Source organism: Homo sapiens, chromosome 2 (assembly GCF_000001405.40).
Source record: "Homo sapiens chromosome 2, GRCh38.p14 Primary Assembly".
Lineage (NCBI taxonomy): Eukaryota > Metazoa > Chordata > Mammalia > Primates > Hominidae > Homo > Homo sapiens.
The window spans coordinates 207,251,737-207,274,611 of NC_000002.12; the positions used below are offsets into that span (position 1 = coordinate 207,251,737).

A 22,875-nucleotide genomic window follows, 5' to 3' on the forward strand; every position below is an offset into this window, starting at 1 on the left:
CCAGCCCATGAGGTGCCCCCCGACTCCAGTCCAATCGGGTATGGCTACATGCTGAGTCACAGGAACTAAAAATGAACAGCCCCCGACCATGCAGGGCCAGGCCCAGGACAGCTGCTGCGAGTGATGCCTGGTAAGCATAGGATCATCTTTGTTTTTGCAGAAAAACTATCTACTGATTAATTCTGTCACATATAAGCCTGCCAGTCAAATCCCTACCCCTCTGTGGCCTGTGCCCCCACACATGACGTCCCTGGTGTAACGATACTCACACATGCTGTGTGCCTCTGTGAGATGGTAATAGCAGATAGTGAGTGAATAAATGAGAATCTTGTCTGGCTCCTCCAAGAGAAGACAAATGGGCCTGTGTTGCAAGGTATATCTGATCAAAGGGGAACCCAGGCATCAGGAGGAGGCTAGGGACAGGGGACCACGCCATTGCATGGTGACACTCAGCAGACATCTGCCTCTCAAATAAACCAGAATCCTCAATCTGTGTTGAGGGTAAAAGCTGGAAACTAGGAGAGAGAGACGCTGCCTGGGTAAAGAGACGGAAGGAACTCAGCCTAGGTCCAAGGGGGAGCTCATTCCACCTAGAAAGAGAATCCTGATCTCTCTGGAAAAAAAGGAGAGATGTTGAGCTACAAGGAGGCAAGGCTCACAGAGCCAGATGAAAACATCCTGCTTAGAGCACATGGAATGTCTCTGTTACATTTCTGCGGTCACTGAACTATAAACTAGGCTCCTGCAATATATATCTGCACTTGGTCACCTGAATATATAAAGGTGTTTAAAAAGCAAGTCTGCAAGCCATTTCTCTCTTTTTTTTTTAACTGACTCTCTTCCAAAAAAGTAACTAAATGACACATTACTATGTTTCCACATAATCTCTTATCAGATTTGAGCAGATTTGTCATAGTCCTAGACAGGTGTTAGTATCTTTGTTTATCCCAGCCTTCCACACCTTGCAAGATCATTCAGCCTTCCTTCTAGAAATTTTATTCCCTTCTTTGATACACTGGATTGACTGAAAACAGGTTTTGCATATACTTCAAGAGAATAAAAATATTTTTTGCATTAAAAATAGAATCACCACAGGCACAGAGATAGTTAGACATTTAAACAAAGGGTATATCAAATCTTCTATTCTTCTAGCTAATCTATTTTCAGTACTGCCAGAAACACCTAACAAACTACAGTCTCACAAAATCAGAATCTGTGGTACTAGTATCATGTGGTGATGATTAACCTTGTCAACTTATTTTTTAAATAATCCTCATCGTTTATACCATTGTAGTAAAGGGTTCCCCTCTCCCATGCAGCAAGTCCAGAATGAAAGTGGGTTGTTCCCATGGCAACAGAATACAAGGCAGAGAACTCCAGAGAAGGGGGGCGGGTGCATCTCTACACTCAAGGCCATAGCTGCAAGAAAGCCCCAGGCTCCAGGATGGTGGCAGCAAAGAGATGCAACCTGCCATGACATCACACTGCCAGATGGCCTGCTGTTGACATAGGGTTCCCCCCCAACTAATTATTTGCATAAATCTGGATCATTCATTCAAAGAAAAATAAAGGATTCACTCAAGTATACATTGACGTACTTATTAGACAGTTTTTCTCTTTGAACAACTTAGTATTACAAACATTCCCCAAACACCAAGCACATAGTTGCCTTACACATGGAAGCTGTTTAAGAAGCATGTATTTCACGATATATTGGACCCCTTCCTGAACCAGGTATTGCTCAAGATCCAGAGGAGAGTTCTCTCTCTCCAGAGAGTTCACTGTTTAGTGGGTGGACAAGCATGTATAAAGATCCATAGAACCTTACATATCAGCTTAATGATAGACTTGCCCAGGGTATCACAGGGGTGAGAATTCAGGAGAGGAGACCACAACCCTGGAGAAATACATAGGAGGGGAGAAAGGAGACAACGTACGTGTCACATGACCCCGAGGATGAATGAGGAGCTATTGATGCTCCATTGTTTGCTCTGTCTGCTTGCTTTGAGATTGTTGGCGGAGCAAACAGCACAAGCAAAGACCCAAAGGCAAAAAGTAGCACAGTCTAAGTAGGGGAAGCATATGCAGTTTGCTTGTGTTGAACACAAATCTGTAAGGCAGGGACTGGAGGGAGCTGAAGCTAGAGACACAGGGAGCTAAGATGTTAAGAGAACATGTAAGTCCCTCCATCTGGAGAGCTTGGACTATATTTTCTGGGCAATGATGGCACCAACGTGATAAAGCCTGCTTTCTGGATAGACTCAACAGCAGTGAGGAGAGTTGCTTAACAGATAAGATTGGAGTCCAGAGGACCCGTCCCAAGACTGCTTCAAACATCCAGGCAAGAGACAATAAGAGCCTGACTTAGATGGAGGACTAGGGATGGAAGGGTGAGGAGACATTCTAGAAATATTTAGTGAGTAAAGTCACATAGCTTCTCAGCATGACTCACCTTCCCAAATTCCTAAGACTCAAATCTCCATCCACGTCTCCATACCAATTTCGACACTGAAGAAAACCTGGAGGGAGGAAGGATAAGATTTGCAGCGGCTAAAGCTCCTTCAATAGTACATAGCTTATACGGTACATTCGTTGAGCCACTTAAAATGATCAGAGTCACTTTAAACCTTATTGGCTGAGTCGATGAACAGGCAAAATATTTCTTTCTTGAATAGTCCAGTACATTGTTTTCCACAATTAGCGGTCACTGGGGTCGGAAAAAGAACGGAGGTTTTTAGAAAGATTCTGAACAATGTATCAATGCCAACTGAGAGTGGCAGGCACAACAAAACTGATAATGCTTCATATTGAGATAGGATCATTCCTCTGTGGCTTTCCTAGTTTCACAGTGAATATTAATTTTTAGAGCATTCCTATGAAGTAGAAAAGTGGCAAAGCAAGTTGGCTCCATTTCCGTGTGTGGGGCGGGGGTGGTAAGATACTAGTGCAGAGAGATGAACTGACTCGTCAGAGGCAAGGCTAGTTGGAGGAAATCCAGAGGGCAGTTTGGGCTTCTTGGTTTCTTCTGGTTTTATCATCTAAACCCATCCTAATGAGGTTACTGTCTTTAACTCAGCCTGTCCAGATCTCATCTAAAAAGAGGAAGCAAAGACCTGGGTAATTTTCCAGATAATTTCTTTAAAAGAGAAAAAAGCAACCTCTCTTTCCTCCAAATTGTTTATAATTGATGCAATACAGGAAGTCTCACTGCTTGTTAATGAGCTCCCAAACTCAAATTTTGCTATTTAATTTCTTTTTGAAATCTGCGTTTGCCCGAAATATCTCAGTAATTCAAGTGGAAAGGGAAGTTTTGCCTAAATTATGAAAATGACCTCAATTTCCTTCTTTGCGTAGCTAAGGGAGAAGTGGGCAGAACATGGTATCTGAGCTGTAGGAATCAAACCCTTCCCCATGGCCTGGGGTACATGGATCCCCTCTTGGTGTTGGGGAAACCCCACACTCAAGTTCAACATTGTCATCCTGTTTTCCGTCGTCAATCTGTAAGTCTTCATCCTTTACTCATTTGTATCTCCCAGGACTGCAACAGACACCACCTGCTTTGTTTCATTTATGCATTAGTAAAAACGTAGGACTTATACTAATGATTGGAAGAAATGACTCATTTCAAGTTCTTGCTACAGGGTCAGTCTTGGACACAGTTTATTTTGTATGTATATAAAATGGGTAAATTGAGCTAGCAGTGATGAAGCAAGGAAATGACTGCCCTGCCTGCTTTTTTGCCAAAGCACACGTCCCAGTTCTTTGTCTGACTCTAGTCCCTGTCATCTGCCAGTCTGCTTTTGTCTTTCCCTCATTCGGCCACTCTTCCCTTACTCCTTTCTTCTTGTATCTCTCGGGATAGAGCCACATGCCTCTGGACGGCTTCCATTCAGTGAGAACCTTGGATAACAAGGTGGTCCACAGGCAGCAGTTCAGCTGAAAAGCAGCAGCCCTATCCTGAAGCTATTTTGGAGGCAGACTATGAGTCGATAGCAGGACACCAACAGTTTGCCTCTTCACTGGGGCTCACAGATAAAAGCCTCAGATCTTGATGATGAACAGCGGCAGCTCCTTTGGGCGGGCATGTGGGCTGTCCTGCTGCTCCCGGCAGTCAGAAGAGCCAAGAACAAAAGATGTCCGCCAGGCCGCCCTGGTACCCAGCCGGAGCACACTGGGTGTCTTGCACACTCACATCCACACACTGCCCGACTCCCTGAGGCATGGAGATTGCTCTCTTCTGGATTCACACATCTCCCAAAAGGAAGAGCCCCTTTCTGAGATAAAATCACTGCATTTTTACACCCTGAACAATTAGACAAGATTTCCCAAAATGTAAGAGCAGTTAGTAGTTAGTAGACTCCATCCAAGGCGGTGAAGGCAGGAGGAGAGAAAAGGAGGGAGGAGGGAGAGGGTGGGGGAAGGAGAGCAGCAGCTTTGGAGTCTTTGTTTCTCTCCCATCTGGCTGAAAGCCAGAGGCGAAGATCGAAGAGACCTATCCTTTGTCCACTGATCTGACAGTCATCCCATGTTACCACTCGGCAAAATCAAAGTGAAATGCGTTCACACATTCACGTCCATCGCTCAAAAGGTTGCTATGAAATCTGTCTTCCTGTGCCTAATGGCAGCAGGATTTCTATGCAACAGTCCTGTTTTCAAGGTCATAATAAAATGAAGAGAGCTCCACTTTTTCCACTATAGTCCATCATTCTTAGCATGCTCCTGTCCTCCCAAGGACCCAAGCATGTGCTCTGTGACTTTAAGGGAAGAGAGAGTTCTTCCCAGCCTCTCTCTATCACGTCAGGTTAGGCTGTAGCATGTAAAGTTCCAGGCCATAAATAATTCAAAAGGCATGAAGAAGATTTTCTTCATTCTCCATCTATCTCTGCACACAACATCCCTCCCTCCCTTTCTGGCTTATAACAAATGCTAATTTAATCAACTGGCAGTAGATTGTACTGGTTGCTGACTCATGCCAGACACAGCCCCTATGGACTAACAGAGCTATGCCATCTCATTTGGAAATGAACAATGAAGAAGTGTGGTCCTGAGCTGACCACCTTCCTGCATTTGTCCTTTGTTTCCTCATTTTTCTACCCTCCTCCCCTAAAAAAAGGTTATTTACAAATGTATCCCCTGACATACACGCAAGCAATTTACATGGCAGCCACACCGCCTGCAAGGGGCTGAGCTACATGCAAGCTATGTGGCCTCTCAACTGCCTGTAAGGACACATGGGACTTCCCTAGTGGTCCTGAAAGCCGTTCTCTAGAAAGACCCTGTGCATGTGGCAGGGGGAAGGGGAGAGCAGGCAGTGCCGAGGGTGGGAAGGGCGGGAGGCAGAGCCTTGTTATCCAAGCTGTGAAAGCGCGTGTGTCAGTGAGAAAGCATGTGTGTTCTGAAACCGACAGCACCGGATGGAAGCTGATTAAAAAGTGTAGGGGAGCAGCTCCCCCAGGAGAAGTCTTTTTCACCTTACCAAGCTGGGCGGGAGTGGGGACTCTCAGACCCCTGGGAACAGTGGAGAAAGGAGAGTGGGAGAAGGAACTTTCCCAAAGACAAGACAGTGGGTGCAGCAGGTAGAAGGGCAGTGGGTGGAGAGGATAGAACATAAAGAAACGCCTCCAAAAGAAAGGACCAAGAGATACGGAGATATTTCTGGGAAGCCTAGGGAGCCCCATGGCCTATTTCCTTTTCCTTCTGCTCTTTCACTGTAGCTATAAATATTTATCTTATGAAGAAGCATCCTCCCTCCCCACCCCAGAGGGATTTATTTAAAGCCCACACCATCACGATCATGCAAATATTTGCTGAGTGCTATTGTATAGGGTCCTCTGTGAGGACACAGAAGATCGTTTACCTTCTCACCTTCCAATGCCTTGTAAAACACTTATGGTGTGCCAAGCACCATGCTGCCCCTTATTTTGTTAGCTTTCTCCTTTTAGCCACCCCCTCAGGTACACAGAGCTGGTAGCATGAGGCCCATTCTACAGAGAGCTGGAGCTCCGGGAAAGGGCTAGCGGATGGCACAGTCATGGCTGACACTATTTCCACCAGACACCCTGCTCCCTGGGGGTTTACACACAGGAGGTCTAGCTGCTTAGACATTAGGTTATCACCTATTAAGCAAATGGAGAAGCAAAACTTCAGAATTTCTGGAAGGGTCTGACCCATCTGGTCACCAGACCCTGCCCACAGTGCTGACTATCCCTGCTATTCTTCTGGTCTTGAATTGTCAATGAACGCTTTTATGTGCAATTGTACACCTCCCCAGCCCACCACCACCACATCGGATTGCAACTCCTCCTGGCCAGGAGCTGAGTCTGGGGAGCTTTTGTGTTTCCTGACAAGGCTAAGAGGAAAGGCTTGCAGAGAACAAATTCAAATTTTCTGGTTGATTGCAAGCACACTTTCAGTCTCTTAAAACGAGAAACCCTACCCCAGCCACCTTTATTTCCAAATCCTCACGTTGAGGCTGGTGTCTGCCGTGGTGGTTCTCCCAGGATGGTAGCTGTGTCTGCATTCCTTTGGGTTGTTTTTTGGGCGTATGTGCATATGTGTGTGCACACATGTGTGTGTCTCAGACTGTATTGTTACATGCCCTTCTTCGAGGGTTTTTCTCTACGAGGCTCCCTGCTGACAAGCAGGACATGCACAATGGCAAAAGTGCTTTTTCTCTTAGACCAATGAGAATTCATAATCCACTTCCTACAGAAGCCCAGAAAGGGAACCAAACAAGCAGCCCTCTTCTCCCCCAGCATCCTGAGTCATGTCACAAATATTCTACACTCTTTTCTTCTAATTTATGTTGCTACAACTTCAAGGTCATTGGGAAGCTAGGAAAGAATTGGCCCTGCCTGGGGGAGGCTTTTGCACCCAGCACACAGCATTCTAACTGCCCCTGCTTCACTGCCAAGAAGGGAAGGTGTGGTTCACTTTGTCCTTATTTGACCAGAGGCTAGGCATGGAATGCTGCCTCAGTGCCTGGACTGTAAACTCCTGAGGCGGTCATAAATAGGCACTCGGCCTGGTATGGCTTCTTGGCTAAACATTTGCACAGTAACACAAATGAGGCAGCAGACATGAGTCAGGAGGGAGAAATCAGCTCAAGAAGGGGTGGGGGCTGGAGCTTAGGCTTCTCAAGCCTTTGAGATGATGCTTTAGCCAGAGATACTCAGCTGAGCCTCCAGGGACAGACTGCGGGCCCTCCCCCATGCACTGCACCACCTGCCAGATACATTTGCAAAGCAGCTTGTAAGACCAGCTAAGTAAAGAGCTACTTGTCCATACTCCATGCATGAGGCCAACAAGGACCTTGTGTGTTTCTGAAAGGGGCAATAAAAAGACATTAATTATTTTATCCAGATTGAACATTCACAGTTTCATCCAAGGTTATATACAAGCTGAGAACTTAAAGCTCAGGGATGATACTGACCCTGCAAGGTTAAGTCTGGTAGAAATATGAAAAGATAATAGTTATATCATTCCAGTGATCATTGTTAAGTGCTCAGTGATCAGTGGATCACCAGATTTATCCTTGCTTCCCAGAGACAGGGTGCCAGTGGCTGGTGGCCAGAAGTTTTTAAGCCCACACAGCATGTTTCCTATTCTCTGCTGGGGACAATGAAAGGGAGAGCCTCTCCCAGCTGCTACATGCCACCCTCTAAAGATCAGAAATAAAGTATGTGCTGAAGAAATGAATGGATTATTTCCTTTATTCATTCACAATAAAACACAGTGCTGCCCCGATATTGTGTTTCTCCATAGTAAGTCTGCCTCCCTCTGCTCCTGTTTAACAATTACGGTTTGCTAGGACTGCAAAGACCACAGATTGGGTGGCTTAAACAACAGAAATTTATTATCTCACAGTTCTGGAGGCTAGAAGCCCAAGATGAAGATGTCAGCAGGGGTGGTTGCTTCTAAGGGTGTCTCTCTTTGGCTTGCAGATGATCACCTTCCTGTGACATCTTCACAGGTCTTCCATCTTCACAGGTCTTCCCTCTGTGTCTGTCTACATCCTAACTTCTTCTTACAAGGACACCAGATATCATGGACACCATGGATTAGGGCCCACCCATATGAGATCATTTCATTTTCCCTCTTTAAAGACCCTATTTCTAAATGCAACCACATCTCGAGGTGCAGGGAGTTAGGACTTTAACACATAACACAATTCATTCCAATAACAACAATTATAATTTTTTGGTGTCACAGGGCCAAATAGCTTAGTCCCCTCCTCTCTGTGTCTGCATAAACATTTTGGCAAACGCAAATACTGCCCCTGACACAGACAGACACAGGATCTGCCCTTACCATGTCTGCCCACACCCTCTCTCCAAAAAAGGCTCTATCAAATAATTCCATGGCGTTTCAGGTTGTAACAACAGAAAAAAAGGTCTTTTTCTTTACGTATGAATTTTCTAGTCAGTCTTTCTACTGCTGAAGGAAAGGGGCAGTGACAATGCCTTGCCCTTTGTTCATTTATTCCTACCACCTGATTCACTTGTTTTGGTATGAAGGCAGCTTCTGTCTGGCTGTCTCATTATCAACATCACATGTGAGCAGTTTATTTTGGTAATAGAATGAGGTTTCATTTATTTTGAACATAAACTGAGATTCAGCATTTCACCAGCCCAAGTTGTAGGAAAAACTCCAAGTGGCAGGGTTATACCTGGTTCTCTTCATCCTGCGTCTTTCCTCCACCAGGTAACCCCAGATCCCATGAGGTGGCAGTGTCACCATTGCCCCAGCCCAGAGTCATTTCAAGGAGGAGCAGGTCACTTCCTGATTCCCAAAGCATCTGCCTGTACCATTGAAAACTTATTCCTGCTCAGGTAAGTCCTAACTATCCGTCCAGCCCCACACAGCCCTTTTCAAGAGCAGGAATGCTGAGCTCATGGGATGAATTTTGGTCCCATAACTACAGAATAGTTAAATGGGTAAGCATCAAGAAAGAACACACCTGTGATATTTTTGATGCTTTAAAAACTCTCATTTAAAATGTCCTGTCCCTCAACCCATGTTGAGTGTGTGTGTTTTGTTTTTTGAAATACTCCTCTGAGCTCAGCACACTAGAGACATGACAAATTTGGTGTTTTGAACCATATGCCCGTTTGAATTGTAGAGATGCACATTGGTTAGGTTTTTAGAGCACCTTCTGGTAAATTAAGTCAGAGGTAGATATCAATGCTGGTATATACTCAAGCAGACAAGGAAAATTAATTGCAAGAATGGGGCGGGAAAATATCTTCCATTTATCTTCTTCCTATTTCAAAATTCAAACCTACATTTCTAGAGATTTAAAGATATGACGATAAGGAAGTTTTAATTGGCCAAGATTTGAAGCTAAAGAGGCTAACCTCAAGGAATTAGTATTATTTGTTTATCTACTACTTATGGGGTATAGAGCTGTATACTGAGTCATAGTTAGACATGTAAATCTCTATCGTCCAGGATCACATCATCAGAGTAAAGAGACCAAAGATGCTTGAAACTGTAACAATGGAAAGCAGGAAAACCTGATCAGTTCCAACTGGGCAGGATGGACATTCCGTTTGGGGTTCAGAGTGGGAATGATCACTGCAGTGAAGGGGTCTCAGAGGAGGTGACATTTGAATTTGGATTAGGGGCTTGGAGTGGGAGAATGATATGCCAAAACTGTTGTCAGGGGTGAGTTCCCTAGCACAGGGCACAGGATGTGCGGGGGCAGGTGGGGAGCAAGCTTGGGAGGCAAGCTTATAGACCCTTGCCACGGCCCAGGCACAAGGCAATTCACACGGGAGCTGAGGTATGGCAGTGGTGAGTAGAGGCAGAGATGGGTGGGTAGAGGAAGAGACAGCATCTGTGAAGAAGAATAAGCAGAGCTTTGAGTCTACCGACTGTGAGGAACAGAGGACAGGGACCAGGGTCCTGACCACCGACCAGCTTTCAAAGGAAGACGGCTGCCCACGGGGAAGGTCTGGCTCCTAGACCTTCTTCCTAGCTGGGCAGCTGTCTCAGCTCCCTCTACTTCTCACATGCTCTTAAAATAGCAGAACTGTCCAGCATGCTGGGCTTTCCAGTGGAGTCCAGGCCACCCCAAGAATATAGCCCTGCCCTCTGAACAGGTAGGAAGAATGTTCAGGGCACAGGTATGAATTATCCAGGGGCAGTTGTCAAACAAAAAGTCCCAGAGCTCCCTCTGGCTTCAACCCCAAAGCAAGATCTCCATTCCAACTGTACTCAATCAAGTGGACATAGTCCAGCTATGACTGGGATCATTTGGACTTCATATCACATATCTTTGTCCCCTTTTGGATATTGTCGTGATTTTTTTTGTCGGCCCCTGTTACGCATCTATTGTCTTCATTCCCCTTTTCCAATATCCCTTATTTCTATTTGAATTTCTCATATGATCCTGGGACTTACGTGGTCTAGGTGAGGTTAATCAGGCATTCCATCCACCTGTTCTTGTTGACATATTTAAGCTTCTGGTTCAAATGTCACCTGAAGCCAGATACCTCTAAACTTTTCATTTATATGAAATAACTTCCCTTTATTGTTTGAGCTAGTTTGAGCTCGGTACCCTCTGCTTGCACGTAAAAAGTCCCTGACGTGGCCCAGTGTGGTGGCTCATGCTTGTAATTTAAGCACTTTGGGAGGCTGAGGTGGGTGGATCACCTGAGGTCAGGAGTTCAAGAACAGCCTGGCCAACAAGGTGAAACCCCATTTCTACTAAAAATACAAAATTAGCTGAGCATGGTGGTGCACACCTGTAATCCCAGCTACTTGGGAGGCTGAGGCAGGAGAATCACTTGAACCCTGGAGGCAGAGGTTACGTTGAGCCAAGATAGTGCCATTGCACTCCAGCCTGGGCAAAAAGAGTGAAACTCCGTCTCAAAAAGTCCCTGATGCAGGCTCCTTGTTTAATTATGTTATTGTAGAAAGGGCTCTGGGAAGGAAGACAGAACATGGTCACTCCAGGCCCTACTCTGGCATGAACCGGGCCTGTGTCCTTTGTCAAAGCTCTGTATCTCTCTGGGCTTCAGTTTCTTCATCTTAATGTGATGAGTTGTTCAAGCCAGTTGTTAGTGATCCTTCTAGCATTGGCATTCTGACTCACAACACCCCTGTATATTGAGACTCTAGTGAGTTTGGCCATGCACCTCATGATCTGCCTCAGTCTGACTCCACGCCGTGGCCTATGAATACCAGGTAGACTGCCACCACCAAAGACACTGAGGAATTAAATGTGGTACCAGATTTGAACACATGTAGACATGAATGGACAGTAGCATGCACATAGGTTGGATAGTTAGAGTGTTTTCTTTTCTTTTTTTAGGGCAGAGAGGACATTGGCAAGCATGAGAAAGGCATGGGCTGGGGTCAATATGTCTAAAATGTCACTTTTAGACATATTGATCTGGGCTGAATAAAAGATAACCAAAAAAGAAGGATCCAACTCACTGTGGGAGATTTCACACTTAAAGGGAGGTTCTCAAACTTGAATTAGCATCATAATAGCCAGGTAATTTTGAGATGGGTAAGGATAAACAGAGAGCCAGAAATAGAGAGAAAAACCTACCTGGAGATGTTCAGCTGGAGGCAGTGACACAGCTGTGAGAGCTGAAACTGGGGACCAAATTATATCCCTGGGGATGTGGGGAGGAAGAAGATTGGAGCCTTAGGGACTTGAATGTCAGAGACAACCACGTTTTGTAAGGAAGAGAAAAGGAAAAGGAAAGGCCATTAGAAGGTAAAGGAGGAGGTCAGGCATGGTGGCTCACGCCTGTAATCCCAGCTTTTAGGGAGGCAGAGGCGGGAGGATAGCTTAAGCCCAGGAGTTCAAGACCTGCCTGGACAATATAGTGAGACCCCCATTCTCTATGAAAAGGAAAAAAAAAAAAAAAGACAGAAGGTAAAGGAGGAAAGAGAAGGGAAGTAAGTTTTGCAGTTACTGCTCACACATGGAAACCCATGAGTGTGAGTGTTAGGAAAGCCAGGGAGGAAAAGAACAGTGTAGAAGAGGCATCCTTGGGCTGATATCATGGAGCAATTTTCCCATTGTCCAAGGAATGGGCAGAAGAGAGGTAAGAAAGCCAAGCTCAGGTCAGGGCAGCAGCACCCAGTCTGTGGCACTCCCAGGATGGACGGGTCCTTCCTGGATGGGTCTTTCACATTATAGACTGTAGTAGTTACTTTTGATGCCCTGCATGGTGCCACTTCCCTCAAGTCAGATCCACACTGCCAACACCTATCCCAAGCTTGCTACTAAAGTTCTCTGTTTTGCCGCCTCAGGGCTTCTCTGAAGCTCTGGGAGCTTCACACAGGGAAAACGCAGACAGCCAGAGAAGTTAAGTCAATTTCCTCCTGTCTCCAACCACTGAGAGTCAATGGATCGACACTCCACCCCCACTCTGTATGCCTACGGCAGAGATCTCCATGCACCTGTGTGTTAGTTTTTCCTCCTCCCCTGCCTCAGTTTCCCATGCCCTCACTTTTGCTTCCTAGGGTCACCTCCCAAATAAAACACCTGCATTCAGTTCTTGACTGAGGCTGTGTTTTCAGAAGAACCTAGACCAAGAGAGAGATGAGCTAGCCTCAGTGGTGGCAAACCAAGAAATGGTGGCAGAAGCATGAGTGCACATTCCCTTTAAAGCCCCAGAACACTAAGTAAATGGAAAAGATCTCTGCAATGACCAAAGACTGAGCTGTATCCAGTGGGGCAGACAGAGATGCTACTCTGGATAGGATCCAAAGGCCCTCAGCTGTAAATTTCCCTTGGCAGGGTGAACATGCAGTGCTAGTTCCAAGGACTCCGTGTTGAAAACACGAACAGGCATAAGCTCCATCCACATGATTGCAGAATCACACTCCTCCTTTAGAGGGTTACCTTCCCCAGTTCAGAGGCTGCAGTCTGGGAGCCTGGGGTAATATGAAACCCAAAAAGTTATTTTGTTTTACTGTTCAACACATCCCCACAATGTTTTAAAAGCCAAAGTAGGCCGGGTGCGGTGGCTCACGCCTGTAATTCCAGCACTTTGGGAGGCCAAGGCTGGCGGATCACGAGGTCAGGAGATCGAGACCATCCTGGCTAACACGGTGAAACCCCATCTCTACTAAAAATACAAAAAATTAGCAGGGCGTGGTGGCAGGCGCCTGTAGTCCCAGCTACTCAGGAGGCTGAGGCAGGAGAATGGCATGAACCCAGGAGGTGGAGCTTGCAGTAAGCCGAGATCGCGCCACTGCACTCCAGCCTGGGTGACAGAGCGAGACTCTGTCTCAAAAAAAAAAAGCCAAAGTAACTTAGTGGGTATGATGTTTAATTGTAGTAGAAGGAGCCTAGCACGAAGCTTATACTAAGCCTCTTCAACTATTCATGCTGTTGGCTGGCACCTGTAGCCATCTGAGTCAGCAACTCCGACTCCAGCATATTTAGGAGAAAGGACTTTCGTTTCAATCTACTCTTCCATTGGTTCCTGCAGCCATGTCCTCCACATTGCCTAGCTCCTAATTTCCTATCTCTGTTCGACCTTTAATTTCTCTGATGGTTTTGCTGCTGATCACGTCCTTGGACCTGCAACAACCATTTAATATACTGTTGTTTCTACTCTTTGGGGAAGAGTGGTCCTGGGAGGGTTGAGCCAACTCTCCTCATTTTTCCATTCCAGCTTGGATTCTGACCCCTTGCATAGTTTCCTACTCCCTAGGGATGTTTCTAGGTAACTGACTCTACCCAAGCCTCGAGAAGATCATAAGGGAATTTCCAAAGCCAGAAAAGGAAAACAAAAGTCAAGGCCTGATATCTCTGTTCCCCAAGAACATCAGCACTACCATATCATGGAGAGCCCATGGCTGGTCCTCTCTCTTGTCTGTGGCCCGCCATGTTGCTCAGGCTCTATTCCTCCTCAAAGCCTTTTCTCTTCTACCATCTCTCTCTCCTCAGAGTGCTACTTTTCAGACTCCAGTGTTGGCTGACAATGGAGAGGTCCTTCTGTTCCCTTTTGAAAACTAACTATCAGCTATCTTTTCACATAGGATTCTCCTATGCTAGGCTGCGTTTTACATTTTCCCTAAGTATTTAAGAAATTAGTTGCTTTACTACTTTAATCAAGCCATTTTAACCTTCATTCAGCCAACTTACTCCTTGTAGAGGAGACCTGGATCCTACCTTTACATATCCACTGACTTATCTACAGCTTCTTCTTAAAGAAAATAGAGTGAAGTGATATCATTTCACTTTACCCCTAACCTGGACCTGATGCGTTGCCGCTATTTCAATTACTCATCACGATGACGAACACATCCTTTACCATCTGTAAAAGCTGTCAAGGCTTAAGATTCAAGGGGAATAAAGTAAACCCTGTGGCCCAACAAGGATGTTTTGCGTTCTCCCCTCAGTGCTCTCTCAAAGCTGGGGATTTGGTATCTGCCTTAAAGGCAGAATGGTCTGAGGCCAGACATCTGCACATATGTTTCCTTCCTGTTTTTGTTCCTTTAATCTAGCGCAATGATTTTCAAATTTCACTGTGAATGAAAATTAGAACACAGGGATATATGTTTTAAGGGTGATGTAAGGGCTTTTCAAGGGTAATTCTGAGTTTATATGATGTTCACGTTAGGTGTTGATTATAGAACCTAAAAATACCACTCCTAAGATGTGACTCTTCTGTTTGGAAAACTTCCTTCAGTGTGAATTCTGCCAACAAACTAGAATTTCTAAGTGGCCACGAAATTTCAAATAGCACTTTTTTCTCTTTGGAAAGAGAACTCAGCCCTCAGGCCTAGAGGGGATGCTGAAAGCCACCCCTGACCCCCAAGTCACCACTTAGCAGCTTCTCTGCAGTGCAGTGCAGGGAGAGCAATAGAGAACAGGAGCTCGGCATTCTCACTGGTCAGCCGGTGACCTGGGGCTGCAAAACCCAATACCCATCCATTTCAGCTTCGCATTTCAAAGTGAAGATCTCCTTGGGCCCATCGTATGCTCCTGAATTTCCCAGCTTTTTTTCAAGCCCTATTTTATCTGTCGCTGCTTATACCTCTCCTCAGGTTCATGGTAAGTGGTCTGCTTCTGTCAATGACTTTTTCATCTATGTCAGGGAAAGGCCCATTAGACAAATCCAATGGGACAAGTTCAGAGAGTTTGTCAGTTCCCGTCACTTTCAGGTCTGGCTGTGCAGTGGAGCACAGACTCAAAACAGACTTGTCAAGATAGGCAGCTTCTTGTGGAAGAAGTTTATCTCAATGGAGAGAAACACACGATGGGTAAAAACAGCAAAACACCAGCACGTCAGCCTGGTGAGCTGAAAAGAGCTGCCGGTGAATAAATTAAATCAGACTCTCACTCCCCAAAGTGGGAGTGGGGAGACAATGGTATATATCCAAGAGCATTTGGGGGTGCTCAGTGAGAGCCTGATATCAACGAGGAAGCTAAATTTCTTGTCAATAATTATTTTTTCTATTTTCAGCTTGTCAATAATCAATAATTATTGATAAGAGAAGTGAAAGATAATACTTTATATTTTATTTCACTGAGACAGTAAAGAACCTCTACATCTTCCCATTGCCAAACTGAGCAAGCTCCCAACGTACCCACAGCCTCACATAGTTACCCTCCCCTCTTACTACAGAAAGTAAACCCTCCCCACTGCAGTCCAAGGCAAGCCCTTCTCTCATCCAGTGGAACCTCTTCCTCCACTGCCTTGTCAAGCACTCACTCCTAGAGTTGTCCTCTGCCTTCTATGTTATTAATTTCCCTCCACTTGGCCATTCCCTTCAGCTTACAAGCATGTTGTAACAAAAAAATAAAAAAATAAAAAAAAACAGCCGGGTATAGTGACTCCTGCCTATAATCCCAGCACTTTGAGAGGCCAAAGCCGAAGGATCACTTGAGGCCAGGAATTTCAAACCAGCCTGGGCAACATAGCAAGACCCTGTCTCTACAAAATTTTAAAAAAATACAAAAATTAGCCAGGCGTGGTGGTGTGCACCTATAGTCCCAAGTACTCAGGAGGCTGAGGTGGGAGGATTGCTTGAGGCTGGGAGGTCCAGGCTGTGTGAGCTGTGATGGCACCACCGCACTCCATCCTAGGCAACAGAGAGAGACACTGTCTCCGAAAAAATATAAATAAATAAAAATTTACAAACCAAAAAGCGCCGGGTGCAGTGGCTCACGCCTGTAATACCAGCATTTTGGGAGGCTGAGGCGGGCGGATCACAAGGTCAGGAGATCGAGAACATCTTGGCCAATATGGTGAAACCGCGTCTCTACTAAAAATACAAAAATTAGCTGGGCGTGGTGGTGCGCGCCTGTAGTCCCAGCTACTCTGGAGGCTAAGGTAGGAGAATCGCTTGAAACCAGGAGATGGAGGTTGAGGTGAGCCAAGATCGTGCCACTGCATTCCAGCCTGGGCGACAAGAGTGAAACTCTGTCTCAAAAACAAAAACAAAAACAACAAAAAAAAGAAAAGGTTTTTAACTCCATATCCCCTTTCAGTTGCCACTAATTTTCCTGCTCCCCTTTTTAGCAGAGTCTTCAACTTTCTCAACTTCCTCCTCCTCCCATTCTCTTGAACAATCTTCAGAGAACAAAAAGTTATTATTAAGGTCACCAATGATCTCCACATAACCAAATACTCAGTTTCACAACATTTGCTCTGATTGTTTGCTCCATATAATATAGTATCTTTGCTTGTGATAATTTGTTTACTATCGCCCCTGCCCCCACTATCATATAAGCAATTCTCAAGGTAAAATGGCAAGTTTGCTCTGTTTACCATGTATCCCCAACTCCCAGAACACCGTGTGCCTATCATATATTAGGTGCTCAATAAATACTTGTTGAATGAGTGATTCAATTAATTGATTAATCATCATCAGGGGTTATAAAAATGATGTGGCTCAGCTGGTACCTGTGTATCAGTAAGTAGTAAGAATCAATGTTTCTTTGAGACATATCTGTGTTACTTATTTAACCTAATATTTTGCAGTGGTCTAAAAAGCGATGCTGTCCATTCTCAGAAATGGAGCAGAAAGGCAAGAGAAAGGAAGCTGATATTTTGAATGTCCACTACCTGGCAAGTACTGGACCAGCCACTTGCATATACATTTTCTCAATTATTCCTCACAAAACCTGGATGAGATGGGTGCTAGCATCTCCATTTTGCTGATGAAGGAACGGAGGTAAAAAGAGAGATTAAATAGCTTGTCCAGGTTATCCCTAAGGTGATTTCACGATGAATGAGGAAGCCATGCTGTTTTCTAGTTACTTTGGGCTAGATATTAAATGCTGTGAATTCACAAAATTTCAGAAGAACTGGGCTGATAAAGATTAGTGTAGGTCAGAATTTCCAAAGTAGAATACATATTTAATTTGGTATATTTATGGTGCTGTTTTTATTGTCAAAGAATGTCAAAAGTCACTAAAGTAAATAAAACAATGAAGTTCAATGTGACTTTATTGTTTGTTTTCTTTTTTAAGCATACTCACTATCACGCGAGGCTTGTAACCTTTACCCAGAGGACACATGCTGTGGTATAGCTATCTGGCTAAAGGTGCCTGAGAAAATACAGGATGTCCAGTTGAATTTGAATTTCAGATGAAACACAAATAATATTTTAGCATAAGTATGTCCCAAATGTTGCATGGAGACATACTTATTCTAAGAAAAATTTGTTTATCTGAAATTCAAATTTTAGCTGTGCTTCTGCATTTTTATTTGCTAAATCTGGCAACCTACACCTGGCCAAATGCCCCACCACCCTCCACATACTTATCCTATCACTCTGCCAGACAGATTTTGTCAAGGAGGTCAAGACAGAAAAGAAGGGAGAGAGGACAACTTTGAAAATACCTTGAAAAGAGAAAAGCCTAATGACACACTGTCTTGCTTTCTGTAAGGGATGGCCAGTTTACCTCCAGACTCCTTTGAGCCCCATCCCACCTCTCAGGCCTTCTCTTTTTTACACAGAAATTGAATAACCATGAACAAATTCCATATGTTCTCTAGCCTCGGTTTCTCCATCTGCAAAACAGCAGCAGTCTTAGGTGTCAGAAAAAAACAGGTGATGTGAGATGACTGACTTCCATAGATAGTGTTTGGTCAAGACTTCTCTGCAGCTTCTAAACAGAAACCTAAATGATTAGAAGAAAGCAGCTACGTGAGGGGAAAGAGAGAGAGACAGAGAGCAAGAGCAATCTTGCGCTTGTATCTGTGCAACTGTAGATAAGATCAAGAAGACAGAGCCGGACAATGTGTACAAAATGTTTAATAGGGACAGCAGATTCTATACTGACCTGCTTTTCAACAAAAATAAAAGAAACCAGATTTTGAGTAAAGTAAAAACTTGACAACTGGGGCAAAAGTAGGACTAATCTATAAATCACTCTTCCTGAAGTGGGTTTAAGTGGTGACTTGAAATGCATGCTAAGTGAGGAAGAAAATATAAAGATTGGGCATAAACACAGCACGGAGTTACGATCAAATTAAAGTTGCAATGAAATTAACCCCATCAATACTTGCTACTGTGTATAATGGGCATCTTAAAATAGGGCAGTGTTATGGAATGAATAGTGCCTACCAAAATTCATATGTGGAAGCCCTATGTGACTGTATTTGGAGATAAGGTATTTAGAAGGTAATTAAGGTTAAATGAGGTTGTAAAGGCGGAGTCTAATCCAACAGGATTAGTGGCCTTGTAAGACGATGAAGAAATCTCTCTCTCTCTTTCTCTCTCTCCCTCTTTCTCTCTCTCCCCCTCTCTTTTTCTCAGCCCACACACTGAGGAAAGGCCATATGAGCACACAGGAAGAAGACTGCCATCTGCAAATCAGGAAGACAATCATCATCAAGAACTTACCATGCTGGCACCCCGAACTTGGGCTTCTGTTGTTTAAGCCACCCAGTCTGATATTTTCTTATAGCAGCCCAAGCTGACTAAGACAGGCAGTCAAGAATTAAAATCTGCTTGGAGGAGCACCAACATACCCATTTTAAAAACCTTATTATGTGAAATGGCTACAGTTATTTAAACTCAAGAAGAACATGGAACAAGAAAGAGAAATAAAGTCAGTGAGATGAATGGACTAAAATAACCTAGCAGTTAATGGAATAAATAGGAATGAAGCCCCTTTTCCAGTGTTAGGGTCAGCCTGGGATTTATCAAGGCTCTAAACAAAAGGAATTGATCATGAGAGGTTAGCAGAGACATACGGGAAGCACTGCGAGAGTATTCAGCACTAGTTGGAGATTTGAATTCTAACTTTAAAATTCTGAGACTTTTGATCTATTAATTTATCCATTTTCATTGTTCTTTTGCTTTGACTATAAAGAAACAAAATAAGGCACAATCAAGTGAAATCTCTTGTCCAAGGTTCATTCATTTAAGACATGTTAAGGTATGAGAGAATTTGAAGACATAGGAGTTCCTGCTCACAAGGACATAGAATGTGGTAGGAATGATGTTCAGAAAATCCAAGCAGTGAAAACCTGGGTTTGAAAAGACATTGGGTAAATAACTGTTATAAGATTGAATGAATGGGTGGATGTATTGATGGATGGACAGATGGATGGGTGAATGAATGAATAATACAGTGGTTGTTACAGAGGTTCACAGAAGGCTTGGGTCCTAAAGTGGCAGCCTCTGGCCAGGTTGAACCTATTTGACCATAGGCATTGACCATTCTCTGACAAACTGGTAGCACCCTGTGCCTGATGGCTCCACTATGAGCACCAGATAAATATAGACAATACTGTATCTGCCTTTGCTTTCCTAACAGCACAGCCTCAGCTCCAGAAATCAGGACCCTGACTGTCCCATTGACTCTTGGTGAACATTCTGAGCTCCATTCTATTCCCCTTGTCATTACTAGGGGCCTGTTTAATTTACCGATTTATTCACTTATTTATTCAAGAAATATTAAGTGCTTACTATATGCCAGGCACTGTTCTACCCTCCGAGGATACATTAGAAAGCAAATGTGCTTCAGCTTCTGCTGAGTACAGACAGAAAATAAACCAACAAACAAAGTAAGTACCTCAGTAGTAAGCACTATGCACAAAAGGCAGGAGAGAGGGATAGAGTAGGGTGAAGCTGAGAGCGCAAGGTTTAAAGGTGTGGCTGGGGAAGATTCCACAGGAAGGAGACCTTTGAGCAGAGATCTGAAGGAATTGGCAGAGAGGCCCATGCAGCTACCTGGAGGGAAGGTGCTCCAGCCAGAGGGAGGAGCAAGGTTCTGAGGTGGGAGTGTGCCTGGGATGATGGGGAAAGCAGTCGGTGGACCATCACATCAGGACCAAGGGAGTGACGGAGGAGGAGGACATGATGAAGAGGGAAGAGGGGAAGGACAGACCCGTGTAGGACCCTGGAGGCCCTAGGAAGGATGTGAGCTTTTACCTTCAGCCATTAAGTCTTGATAGGATTGCTCTGGCTGCTGGATTGAGATACTGAGAAGTGGGGGAGGCCCAAGCAGAAGCAAGGAAGCCAGGTAGGTAATAATTCAAGTAACAGAGGATGGTGGCTTGGCCCAGGTGTTTGTGGCAGAGGTGGTGAGGATATCAGCTTTTAAATACATTTGGGCAGTAGAGCCAATAGGATTTGCAGATGGTTTGGGTGTAGGGTTCACATGAAGAGACTCCTGTCAAGCACCCCTGGTATCTACTGACATTGCTGCATGGCATCTTCTGCTAAGGAACCTCCATGAACTGGTCGGCCCAGTTTGAACTGGGATTCTTCCAGCACCACCAGTCTCTCCCCTATCCTCCCCCATACCACTGTGGTTTGGATTGATGGTAACTCTGTTCCTAAGCCCTCCACTGACTCATCACCCCTTTCCCAAAGGCCAGCCCAAGCTCTAACCTATGATTCTCCATTTTTACCTCTTTCTATCTGCACTTTGGTTCCTATAGCATAGAAACTGTAGATTTTGAAGGAAGAAAATGGCCTACATGATAAGAGCAGGTCTGAGTAAGGAAAGCAATTCCAAGCCAGAGGAACTGTTAAGGGAAGGCGTTAGCCCATGTGTGGTAGCGCTGAGATGATCAGAACACCAGGGTCAGTGAAAATTAGCACCTTTCTAGTTTTCAACCCAGTCCCTGTTCCCAGATTTCAAGATATTTTAGGTCAGAACAAGATTTATACAGTTGCCATCTGAGAGCAAGAATAAATAGAAAATCTAAAGGCAGTGGCTCTTGCAAACTCATAGTCTTAGCTAGGATTGTTTAAGCAACAAAGAAAGGAATAAGGGAGAGAGAAGAAGGAACAAAAAAAGAGAGAGAAAGATTGATTGATTCTTTCCCATTAACTGTTTTATGAAAACCAGCAATAGGTTTTCTACCACATTCTATCTACACTGTTTACCTAACTTAAAAAAAAATCCAATCCATCAACCCCTATATATTACTTTATGATTTAAAGCAGGACTTTTACTTTTTTACTTTAGACCCAGGGGTACATGTGCAGATTTGTTACATGGGTATATTGCATGATGCTGAGGTTTGGGCTTCTAATGATCCCACTGCCCAAGTAGCAAACATAGTACCCAATGGGTAGTTTTTCAGTCCTTTCCCTCCTCCCTCCCTCCTTCCGAATCTCCCATATTTATGTCCCTCTGTTTTTCCCATCTTTGTGTCCCTCTGTATCCAATGTTTATCTCCCACTTATAAGTGAGAATATGCAGTATTTGGCTTTCTGCTTCTGCTTTAATTTGCTTAGGACAATGGCCTCCAGCAGCACCCATGTTGCTGCAAAAACATGATTCCATTCTTTTTCATGGATGCATAGTATTCCATGGTATATGTACCACATTTTCTTTTTTTTTTTTATTTTCTTTTTTTTTAATTATACTTTAAGTTTTAGGGTACATGTGCACATTGTGCAGGTTAGTTACATATGTATACATGTGCCATGCTGGTGCGCTGCACCCACTAACTCGTCATCTAGCATTAGGTATATCTCCCAATGCTATCCCTCCCCCCTCCCCCCACCCCACCACAGTCCCCAGAGTGTGATATTCCCCTTCCTGTGTCCATGTGATCTCATTGTTCAATTCCCACCTATGAGTGAGAATATGCAGTGTTTGGTTTTTTGTTCTTGCGATAGTTTACTGAGAATGATGATTTCCAATTTCATCCATGTCCCTACAAAGGACATGAACTCATCATTTTTTATGGCTGCATAGTATTCCATGGTGTATATATGCCACATTTTCTTAATCCAGTCTATCATTGTTGGACATTTGGGTTGGTTCCAAGTCTTTGCTATTGTGAATAATGCCGCAATAAACATACGTGTGCATGTGTCTTTATAGCAGCATGATTTATAGTCCTTTGGGTATATACCCAGTAATAGGATGGCTGGGTCAAATGGTATTTCTAGTTCTAGATCCCTGAGGAATCGCCACACTGACTTCCACAATGGTTGAACTAGTTTACAGTCCCACCAACAGTGTCAAAGTGTTCCTATTTCTCCACATCCTCTCTAGCACCTGTTGTTTCCTGACTTTTTAATGATTGCCATTCTAACTGGTGTGAGATGGTATCTCATTGTGGTTTTGATTTGCATTTCTCTGATGGCCAGTGATGATGAGCATTTTTTCATGTGTTTTTTGGCTGCATAAATGTCTTCTTTTGAGAAGTGTCTGTTCATGTCCTTCGCCCACTTTTTGATGGGGTTGTTTGTTTTTTTCTTGTAAATCTGTTTGAGTAACCAATCCACCATTGATAGGTACCTGGGTTGATTTCATGTCTTTGCTATTGTGAATGGTGTAAAGCAGAACTTTTTCACAGCAGCAATTAAGAAGAAATCCTCTCAGGAAATGAGACTAAGCATGTTAAGTCTAACCAAACAATTTTTTAGTATTAAAAAAACACACCGCATAAGTGCTTTCCAACACAATTGATG

At 44.2% G+C, this 22,875-nt stretch overlaps 2 long non-coding RNA genes and 1 other non-coding gene across 3 annotated transcripts in view; 1 reads left to right on the forward strand and 2 right to left on the reverse strand.

The window, feature by feature from the left end:
- The window catches only part of MYOSLID-AS1 (MYOSLID antisense RNA 1), a 67,627-nt gene extending 65,047 nt beyond the window's left edge, over nucleotides 1–2,580 (reverse strand). Inside the window, exon 1 of the long non-coding RNA NR_110283.1 lies at nucleotides 2,453–2,580. This is a non-coding gene — a long non-coding RNA (MYOSLID antisense RNA 1). The remainder of the gene's footprint in view (nucleotides 1–2,452) is intronic.
- Nucleotides 2,581–8,708: 6,128 nt separating this feature from the next.
- On the forward strand, nucleotides 8,709–19,328 carry LINC01802 (long intergenic non-protein coding RNA 1802). Its single transcript, NR_146973.1, has 3 exons — nucleotides 8,709–8,831; nucleotides 16,965–17,157; nucleotides 18,748–19,328. It is a non-coding gene; the product is annotated as a long intergenic non-protein coding RNA 1802 (long non-coding RNA).
- MIR1302-4 (microRNA 1302-4) lies at nucleotides 17,539–17,688 on the reverse strand. Its single transcript, NR_031633.1, has one exon. It is a non-coding gene; the product is annotated as a microRNA 1302-4 (primary transcript).
- Nucleotides 19,329–22,875: the final 3,547 nt, after the last annotated feature.